Genomic DNA, 10,865 nt, shown 5'->3' with positions numbered 1-10,865 from the left:
TTAGAGAGAGACGAGAGAAAACTTTTCCAAAGGGACATTAAGCAGATTTGAACGCCGTATAAGGTGTTGAGGTCATGTCTTGGGTCAATTTGAAAGCGTCTTGAAGAACGGTTTGTATCATACTTTGATTTTATAATGTTCAGACCTTTAAATGAAATATTCTAGTTGCCGAGTGAAGCCAAAGTTATCAAAGAATCTCCCTGATAACAAGAGATTATTTGAAGGATTTGGGAACAGGTGATCTCCTCCCCCACCCCCACCCCCAATCCTTCCACTCTGCAGAAACTTTAAAGCCTCACTTCCAATGCCTTCTCGAAGCTAGATGTGCTAAGACCTTCTTGATCTTATACCGCCGTCATGGACTCCTGAGATGAGGGTGTGACATAGCTAACTATCATATTATTTATTTATAATATGAAATATATTTGGGCTTTGTCCCTGGTTCCTGACACAGCCCCTAAAACCCTTGAATTTCCTGGGTTATACGTAATGGGTCTCTTTGATAACACCTGAGTTTATAATAAGGAGGTGATTTAGGATGGGGGCCCTAGATAACCTTAGGATGGGGCCAGTCACCAGAGAGACCAAGTGATTGGAGGATTGGAACTTTCATCCCCACCCTTCAACCTCCAGGAAAGGGGGAGGGGAGGAGCTGGACATCAAACTCTATAAACGCTCGAACAACAAGAGTTGATGAGCTTCAGGGTTGTTGAACATGTGGAGATGCCAGGAGGGTGTCTTGCCCAGAAAGGTTATGGAAGCTCTGCACCCCTGACACCTTGCCCTATCCATCTCTTCATCTGGCTGTTCATTTGTACCCTTTGTACTATCCTTTATAATAAACTGGTAAATGTTTCCTTGAGGTCTGTGAGCCTTCTCAGCAAATTAATCAGACCAAAGGAGGGGGTAGTGGGAGCCCCAGTTTATAGCTGCTAAGAAGTATAGGTGAAATCTACTACTTGCAATTGGCATCTGAAGAGGAGCAGTCTAGTGGGATCAAGCCCTTACCCCATGGAATCTGACACTACCTCCAGGTAGCTAGTGTCAGAATCAGAATCGAATTGAATTATAGAATGCTTAGCCAATGTCCACTGGAGAATCGCTTGGTGTCTGAGGAACTTACCCCCCAGGGCCCCTCACCACTGCATCTGGTCACAGAAATGTTGTGTGTTGAGTGTGGGTTTTTGTTTTTGTTTTTTGTTTTTTGTTTTTTTTTGCCTCTTACACTATCCCTGCTCCCCAAAAAGCCTCTGCCAAGCCAACCCTGAAGTGTAGGTCAGGTCTAACAACAATGATAGAGCTAAGTAGAGACCCTGAGGGAGGCAGAGGAAAGGGGCTTGTCTGGGTGTGCTCTCCTTGGTTCAACCTGCCTATGGTATTAGATTTAAAACCAGTGGAAAGGAAGGGTGAGGAGCTGCAGTCTTGGAGGAAAACATCTAAGAAGACTCTCCTCAAAGTGTTGGGTTCCCTAAAACCTTCTGAGGGCAAGGTCTGTGATGGGGGCGCTCCCTGCTTCCATGTCATTGAAGGCACCGCCAAAGTGTATTGCCAATTAAGTTTCTAAAACAGTGGCAGGTGTTTCTGAGGCTGAAGTGATCCCAGGCCTAGGGGAGGAGGGCCACTGGGTCAACCCTTTAGGAAGGTCATCAATGTCATTCAACAAGTGATCTTGAAATTCTGATCTCTCCAAATTTATTCATGCATTTTTACAATTGATCTTATCATTAGATTACAAACATCTCCCTTTAAAATGTTCATATGGGCGGGCGCGGTGGCTAATGCCTGTAATCCTAACACTTTGGGAGGCCAAGGTGGGTGGATCACCTGAGGTCAGGAGTTCGAGACCAGCCTGGCCAACATGACAAAATCCCGTCTCTACTAAAAATACAAAAATTAGTTGGGTGTGGTGGCACATGCCTGTAATCCCAGCTACCTGGGAGGCTAAGGTACAAAAATTGCCTGAACCCAGGAGGCGAAGGTTGCAGTGAGCTTAAATCACGCCACTGCACTCCAGCCTGGGTAACAGAGTGAGACTCTGTATCAAAAAAAAAAAAAAAAAAGTTGATGTTACCTGATGAGTATAATAAATTAACATAATAGCATACTTCATCAGCTTAGAATCGTGGGATTTTTAGAGTTGGAGGGGAGCTTCAGCTATCTGTTAACTTAATAATTCCTGATTTTTTCATCACCTTGTCCCTCATGTTTTGAAATATTTTTGTCTAATGAACATGATTTTTAAAAAATAATAATTTGCCTTTTTTATTAATCAGATCTATATGGCTGCCACCTAGAAATTCTGATCAGCAGGAAATAGGCAGTGTTACTGCACCAAGTAACTCCTGCCAGAAGCTAACGCAAAAACAAATCAACATAAAAACTTTCGTTATGGAGTGATGGTGTGAAGCCCTGCCACCTTTGAATATGTGATTTCTGTTAACCCTTACTACCAAGAATGCTCTTGGGCACTGCCTCTGAGGACTGAAGTGCTCAAGAAGCCCTGACTGGAAAACAGCCAGCCAGGCTAACCCTTTTATTTTCTATATAAGGAAACAGCCCCAGAGAAGATAAGTGATGGAATCAAAACCAGGACACAGGTAAATACCTAAGATAGCCTAATGTTTGGGCTTTGCCCTTTTAGTAGCAATCCTTAGCAGAAAACAGGTCAGTGAGGACCCTGACTATGCTATGGGGCCTGATCTTATAGGGCAGAGACCATTGCGTATTTGCATTTTTCTCCCCACGGGACCTAGCACCCTGCCTTACCCATGGTAAGTGCTTGTTACATCCTCCCTGAGTGAGTGGGTTGCGAGGAAGTAGGCTGAGAGGATGGGAGCTTGTTGCAGGTCAGCGAGCAGAGTCCTGGGTGAAGATACTGCCTTGGGGATCCTGGGCAGCTAGTGGGCAGCCTAGGGGAAAAGAGCAACTGCAGAGACGGAGCAAAAAAAGCGGGTGTGAGGCACCCAACAAAAGCTGCCTACCTCAGTTTTCCCAGTTTGGAGCTGGCTAACTCGGAAGGGTTCTCTGAGGCCTCACTGTGGCAGCCCTTTGTGTTCCTCTGTCTTGGATTTGGAGTAGGGTTTCTCAATGTTCACCGAACAAGTCCGGTCCTGTCACTCCCTTGCTAGAAGTCTTCTGTGGATACCTGTTACCCTCAGGGGAATCCAAACATGGCTGGCAACGCTATATATGATCTGTCCCTACCAGCTTCTCTAACATGTTCCCTCTTTATCTCGTGTGTGTGTGTGTGTGTGTGTATGTGAGACTGAGTCTCACTCTGTTGCCCAGGCTGGAAAACAGTGGTACAACCATGGCTCACTGCAGCCTCGACATTTCCAGCTTCAGGGGATCCTCCCACCTCAGCCTCCCGAGTAGCTGAGACTACAGATGTGTGCCACCATGCCCCAGGCAATGTTTGTATTTGTTTTTGTTTTGGTAGATACAGGGTTCTGCCATGTTGCCCAAGCTGGTCTCGAACTCTTGGGGTCAAGCAATCCACCCACTTTGGCCTCTTAAAGTGCAGGGTTTACAGGCATGAGCCACCTCACCTGGCCCTCTTTATCTCTTAACATTTCCCCCTCGTATTCCCCATTCCAACCTTCTTGTGGCTCCCTTCCTTCCCTCTGAGCCTTTGGTTGCACAAGTTCCTTCTACCTGGAACTCCCTTTCCCTTCTCTGTTCCTCTTACCTGGCTAATTCCTCCTTTCTCCTGGAAGCCTTCTCTTACATCCTCTTTACCCCTCCCTGCAAATTGGTTAGACACCCTTCCCGTTTCCCACAGTACAGTAGTATTGATGATACTGTTTCAGGAGGAACTGACAACCCTGCCTCCAGTTCTGGCTTACCCACTCCCTTCTATCAGAGAGACACAGTAACAAAGGAGGTCCACGTTGCTATCCTTCAGCAACTAAGCAGGAATCATTTAAAAATAGCGTGGGTCGGGGAAAGCTGCCAGGACTTGGAGGGACTTTGATCCAGCCTCTCCATCTGATAGAATTGGGGTGCGAAATCAATTCTCCCACCACACTGTATCTTACGGTAGTCTCCAGTGGATGCCTGAAACCACGGAGAGTACGGATCCCTACATATACTGTGCTTTTTCGATCTGGTAACTCAGATGGCTGCTAAGTGAGTAATGGGTGGATAGTGCAGACAGTATGGATACTCTGGACAAAGGGATGATTCATGTCCCAGGTGGGAAGGAGTGAGATGGCACAAGATGTCATTATGCTACTCATAATGGCATACAATTTAAAACTTATAAATTGTTTATTTTTGGAATTTTCATTTAATATTTTTTGACTTAAGTTGACTTTAGGTAACTGAAACTGTGGAAAGTGAAAGTACCGTTAAGGCTGAACTACTCTATAGGGAATTGCATTTTATGTGGGATTGTTAACTTTGGCACTGAGACAAAATTAGTTTATATTTCAAATTCTCCTTGAATAGCTCTTAAAAACCCTAAATCAGTTTCTCTATCTCTTAATACTCATTGTTGCTCTATGCTTCCCAGTTAATTAATTGTCTTCCTTAAGATTTAGACCAAGTCGTAAGTATATTCTTGCCTGGTCACCTGATAATGTATTTTACTTCTTTGTCAGTGATTGGGAAATTCTTAAAATCATTTCCATATCATTACACACCCCTCTCACTGCCCCGCAGTTTCAAGCTTGATTGTGTCTGTTGCTTGTTTGTTGCATTGCACAGTACACGGTTGTATTCATAAAGATTCATAGCGGTACTCCCATGGGACTGTTTTTGCCCTGTTATTTCCCACAGTGGGGTGACGTGGAAGGCTGAGTGGGATCTGTGAGGTGAAAAGGAAGCAGAGGGGCAGAGAGGAGAGCATATTCCAATGCTGGAGGCATGAAGGTGCTTATGACTCAGAGACCATCAAAAGCTCAGTGTGGTTAGAGTAGAAACAATGTTGGGAAGGTGGGCCGGTGGGCCGTTAGGGACCCTGTAGGCCACGTAACTGAATCTATTGGAGACACAGTTTCTTCCTCTATTGTAATGGGTGTAATGGGGATAGTAGCTGCCTCCAGGGCTGTTCTGAAAATGAAAAAAGGCAATGCTGTGAAAGCATTAAGTCCAGGCTTGACACAGATGCCAAACGAATGCGTTTTCTTTTCTACTTACCTTCTTAGAGTTTGGACTGTATGTTATAAGCAGGGGTGATGTTCAAAATATTTAACCACCAGTACAACCCAGGTACCACCCAGTCAAAGTAGATGTGGGTCATAAACAACCAGCCTTGGAGTGTAGGTGAGCTGCTGCCAATTGCTCCTGCCTGACAGCAATAAGGAGCCATCAGAGATGGCACATTTGAGTGCCATCAGATGTGTTAGAAAAACGGCTCTGAGTGTTCCAGCTCTTGTAGAATTTTTTTATTTTTTTTACAGACAGGGTCTGCCTCTGTCACCTAGGCTGGAGGGCAGTGGTGCAATCCACCATCATAGCTCACTGCAACCTCAACCTCCTGGCCTCAGGCGATCCTCCAGCCTGGCCCTCCCAAAGTGCTGGGATTACAGGCATGAGCCGCCACACCCTCTTTTAGAATTTGGTTAGCAGGTTTTCTGCCTTTTACCAGAAAACTTTTCATGAAAAAAAGAAAAAGAGCTCTGGCTACAGAGCAGGGGGGTGATACTGGTGTGGGAAGCACTGGCGCGGAGAGGCCTGTTAGAAGACTAGAAATTACCTAAGGACCCTGACGAAGAACATCTGGCACTTAGTGCCATTCAGTCTGAAAAGTGTGACATTCCCAACTCATCTATTAATAGCTGAGAGAATTATTTTTGGGGATCAAGTGCCCTCAACTAGAATAAAGTCCTGAAGCAGAAAAATCCTGCCAGGCACGCTGGCTCATGCCTGCAATCCCAGCACTTTGAAGGCCAAGGTGGGCAGATCTCTAGAACCCAGGAGTTTGAGACCAGCAACATGGTGAAACCCTGTCTCTCCAAAAAATACAAAAATTAGCCAGGTGTGGTGGCGCATGCCTGTAGCTACTCAGGAGGCTGAGGTGGGAGGATCACTCAAGCCCAGGAGGTTGGAGCTGCAGTGAGCTGAGATTGTGCCATTGCACTCCAACCTAGGCAACATAGTGAGCCTCAGAAAAAAAAAAAAAAAAAGAAAGAAAGCAAAAATCTAGCAACCTCAGGAAATGGTAGGCCCTTGATATCATCTAGGATTTTCTCCACATCTAGTCTGTAATAATCTACTTCATACCCAAAGAAGCTAATTTTGCTTCTATTTGTGGATTTATTGTTATGTGGCTGGCCTCATGTTTCCTGAAAGAAACCTGAGCAGAAGGGAAGGGAAGTAGCATGCGAAGTGGTTTATGAGTTATTTCTTTTGAGCTCATTCAATCTTGGTGTGTTGGGTATCATTAGATGCATTTTATTATTGTGGAAACTGAGGCTTTGGTTATTGACTGATTCCTCAACAAGTAGTGGGAGGCTTCTAGCCTATGTCCATCTTGTTCCAAAGTCTGTGCTCTTTTCTCTGCCTCTCTGCGAATGTGGAATCCTTCTCCTTTTCAGTTTAAGCTTCCAGGACACTTACATTTCCCACTCACCCCTCCAGCCACCCAACCCATGTTTAAGAAAAACAACTTGTAAGGTATGTTTTTATTTTACAAAAAAAAAAAGTGACATGCAATAACCCATCTTCTAACAAACTATTAACGCTTGGATTACAGGGTAAAAAGGAAATCCAACCAGCCCTGATGAAAAAAAATTCGATTTCACAAAGCTGAAAAAATCTATTACAAAGTTTCTGTTGTATAAATATAGTCAGTCTTATCTTTAATGTAGTCAGACAAAAAAAAGTTTTGTTGGCACTAAAACAAAAACAAAAGCAAAAACCCTACTGCTTGAATACACCACAATCTTCATTTGTATTCCCAGCCAAATACAGATGATGTCTATAGCATGACAGTTACTGCATGTTCCAGGACTCAAGGTAACCAAATGAGATTTAAACATTTTATCATACTCCCTCTACCAACAACAGCTTGGACAGACCACTTTAGCCCTGGGTCAAGGACTAAAGCCTTTGTTCATAGAAAATTGAACATGTAGGCCAGGCACGGTGGCTTACACCTGTAATCCCAGCACTTTGGGAGGCCGAGGTGGGTGGATCACTTGAGTCCAGGAGTTTGAGACCAGCCTGGCCAACATGGTGAAACCCCATCTCTACTAAAAACACAAAAATTAGCTAGGCGTGGTGGCGCATGCTTGTAATCCCAGCTACTGGGGAGGCTGAAGCAGAAGGATCACTTGAACCCAGGATGGGGAGGCTGCAGTGAGCCAAGATCATGGCACTGCACTCCAGCCTGGGCAACAAAGCTGACTCTGTCTCAAAAAAAAAAAGGAAAAGAAAATTGAACATGTGTTTGCTCTCAAGTGGGCGGACAACTCTGTGAGTTTGCTGAAAACCATTGAATCGTATGTTTTAAAGGTGAATTGTGTAATATGTGAATTATATCTCAATAAAGCTGTTAAAAATATATGACATGCCTAACTTGCTAGGGGAGCAACAGGTGACCCCAGTAGCGTAACTCAGGAGTTCCTGACAGGTCACAGGGCAGACCTGCAGAAGTCAGCACGGTAAGGGGTAGTAAAAAGTAGCTCCTTAAAGTATTATGGCTAAAATCAGTGGAGTCAGAATAAAGAAGTCAAAGACATATGTAATTTTTCCTACTGTTTCCGGAATAGTCTAAGGGCTGTCTGTGGCCTTTGTCACAAAAGAAAGCTATTCAGTGAGACAGCAGGTGCCCAAGTATTGCTGAGGCTACAGAAGACTTTAGGCTGGAGCTCAGGAGCTGCGTATCTGCATCCACACTGGGGGAAGTTCCAACATGGACACAGGTTCTGAGAGCCTGACTCCTACAAAAGGAGGGGAGAATTTGGATACCCAAAGAAAAACTGGATTTATTAAACCAAAGGGACTCCCTGCCGTCACCAACACTGTTGATGGCCAGGGACCACAGCCTGGCTCTAGTTCTCATTGACTCTTACAAAGCCATTGCCAGGGCAGCAGTGGCTAATCAGATGAGCATTTTGTGGCAGACTAGTCACTTGCAAATGCCATCCCCTTTCTATATCTACCATCTGGTCACCAAATGGTCACTGGAGAAAGGGCACAGGCACAAATCATGGGCAATTGGGGCTTGACCAAGGGAAGGTCACCCTAGCCTGATAGTGATGGAGGCAGAACTGCCAGTAGAAGAAAGAAGAAGGTAATTTAAAGTCTTGCTCTGGTTTTACCCATTCTAGGTACTTAAAAGTTCATTGATAATAGTTTGTGTAAAATTGGGGAAAATGGGCATAGAAGACACCCACTCTACTCACCTTTCAGAAGGGATGTTGCCAGAAATTGGACCAGAAGTCTCTTTAGTTTTTTATCACACAAAGCAATTGAGAATGAAAAAAAGAGAAAGATAGGGGCTTAATAGTGAGAAGTATCCCAGCTTGGTGAACACCTTGTTTATTTTTAAATTTTTTAGAGACAGGGTCTCACTGTGTTGCCCAGGCTGGTCTTGAACTCCTGAGCTCAAGCCACCATTCTGCCTTGGGATTACAGGTGTGAGCCACCATGCTGGGCCCAGTGAAAATCTTGTTAAACTCTCCTAGCCTTCCTTCCTTGAAGACTGGTTTGATTCTGGTGCTGGCGTATGGGCCTGGGATTCAGTTCCTTTTTTGGCCAGCCTAGACGTTTATTCTGTGCCTGAGCAGATGCGTTAAGCTTAGAAGCAGACATCACGGCCACCTCAGGCCCATGCCATTGTGGGCTGTATCCCCTAAAGTGCCCCATTAAAATCTTGGCCTCCTTGTGCTCTTTTCAAATAAGAGACCCCTGTTCCATAATATGGCCCAAACTTCTAGGACGGGGGCACTCAAGGATGGGGAATTTTCCTCACTGACAGGGTTTGCTATGTCTGTGGGTAAACCCAACAGAGGATAAGGCTGGAACATCTGGGTTTGGGGCTTACCTGGTTCTTTTCAGTGTCATAGAGTGATAGTGGAAGGTTTAAAAAAAAGATAGGGAGGATGTATCCACCAGGGCTTTGGGCATTTTCTTGATGAACTTATTCCTTTGGCTTCAGTGAGAATATCTATCATTTACTTAAGAGAAGGCAATGAGCTACGTGGTTTAAAAAACAAATAAAAGGCTGAGTGCAGTGGCTTATGCCTGTAATCCCAGCAGTTTGGGAGGCTGAGGCGGACAGATCACTTGAGCCCAGGAGTTGGAGACCAGCCTGGGCAACATGGTGAAACCCTGTGTCTACAAAAAATATAAAAATTAGTGAGCCTGGTGGTGCACACTTGTAGTCCTAGCTACTTGAGAGGTTGAGATGGGAGGATAGCTTGAGCCCAAGAGCTTGAGGCTGCACTGAACAGTGATTATGCCACTGCACTCCAGCCTAGGTGACAGAGTGAGAGCCTGTCTCAAAAACAAAAACATTCCTTGTTGCCTCTCTTTGTGCTTTTCTTTTTTTTTTTTTTTTTTTTTGAGGCAGAGTCTCACTCTGTCACCCAGGCTGGATGGAGTGCAGTGGCGCGATCTCGGCTCACTGCAAGCTCCGCCTTCCAGGTTCACGCTATTCTCCCGCCTCAGCCTCCCGAGTAGCTGGGACTACAGGCACCCGCCACCACGCCCGGCTAATTTTTTGTATTTTTAGTAGAGACGGGGTTTCACCGTGTTAGCCAGGATGGTCTCAATCTCCCGACCTCATGATCTGCCCGCCTCGGCCTCCCAAAGTGCTGGGATTACAGGCGTGAGCCACCGCGCCCGGCCTCTTTTTATGCTTTTCAAGGCTTTTCTTACCCAGGCCTTGCTCCCCTTGCCCTCAGACTACCATTTTCACTCCCTTTGAGCTGGTTATCCAGGGGAAATGGATCCAGGCTGCTATGAAGATTATCCACCAGGGAACCCCGACACCCTCCTCACCCAGCCTCTCTCCTGAAGAGATCATGAGCTGAGGGCATGCGAGGAAAACTCCCAGCTGTTTCTGCCCTTAAGTTAGAGGACAGAGGAAATAGTTTCTATACTTAAGAAGATAGAAATATTTTCATTCCAAAGCTATAAGAATTATGAGCAGACGAAGCTATGGCTCTGGCGGATGGGCCATTTTGGGAAACAAGATACAAGCAAGGGCATAATTTACAAACAAAGTGTGGGTATATTTGGCAGGTTTGAGGCAAGCAGAAAGGAGGGTTTGGGTACTCTATAAAAAAAGATCTGAAATTCAAACATCTGATAAGGCCACAATGAAGAGATTTCCAGCAGTGGGTGTTGCAGGATGCTGGCACCCAAATCGCCGCAGGCTTGCAAAGGTGCTATGCAAGGTGAGGAGGCAGGTGAGGCAGGCAGTGCCTCTCACAGGTCCATGTCTAGGCCTCCTGAGGATGTCTTCAGCGGCACTGAGTCAAATCCATCAGGAGTCCTCTGAAAGAGAGATGGTGACAGGAGCTGGCTGCTGCACAGGGGCAAGTTTGGGGACAAAGGAGAGAAATGGAAAATAGGTGACAGAAGGAACCCTTATGAAATTCCTGTTTCAGTGGCTTTGTGGAAACACAGAAATGAGATACCCTCTATTCTGCTTGCTCCCTTCAGGGTCAGTTGGAGAACAATAAAAATCTTTTTCTTTTAGGCGGGGTGTGGTGGCTCATGCCTGTAATCCCAGCACTTGGGAGGCCAAGGCAGGTGGATCACCTGAGGTTAGGAGTTCGAGACCAGCCTGACCAACATGGTGAGACCCTGTCTCTACCGAAAATACAAAAATTAGCCAGGCATGGTGGCAGGCGCCTATAATCGCAACTACCTGGGAGGCTGAGGAAGGAGAATCGCTTGAACCCGGGAAC

At 45.5% G+C, this 10,865-nt stretch overlaps 1 protein-coding gene across 7 annotated transcripts in view; it reads right to left on the bottom strand.

The window, feature by feature from the left end:
* ELAPOR1 (endosome-lysosome associated apoptosis and autophagy regulator 1) overlaps positions 6,612 to 10,865 on the bottom strand; it is a 92,667-nt gene continuing 88,413 nt past the window's right edge. For 5 of the 7 annotated variants that reach the window (NM_020775.5, XM_011541827.3, NM_001267048.2 and 2 more), the window contains one exon: positions 6,612 to 10,449. In NM_020775.5, coding sequence (NP_065826.3) covers positions 10,381 to 10,449 — 69 coding nt within the window. In that variant the 3' untranslated portion in view covers positions 6,612 to 10,380. Of the gene's footprint in view, positions 10,481 to 10,865 lie in introns of all 7 variants that reach the window. The other 2 variants (XM_011541825.3, NM_001284352.2) reach the window with 1 other exon arrangement.

This window comes from Homo sapiens, chromosome 1, assembly GCF_000001405.40.
Source record: "Homo sapiens chromosome 1, GRCh38.p14 Primary Assembly".
Taxonomy (NCBI): Eukaryota; Metazoa; Chordata; class Mammalia; order Primates; family Hominidae; genus Homo; species Homo sapiens.
Note: the sequence above shows the minus strand (reverse complement) of the source record. Positions and strands in the feature narration are given on the sequence as shown.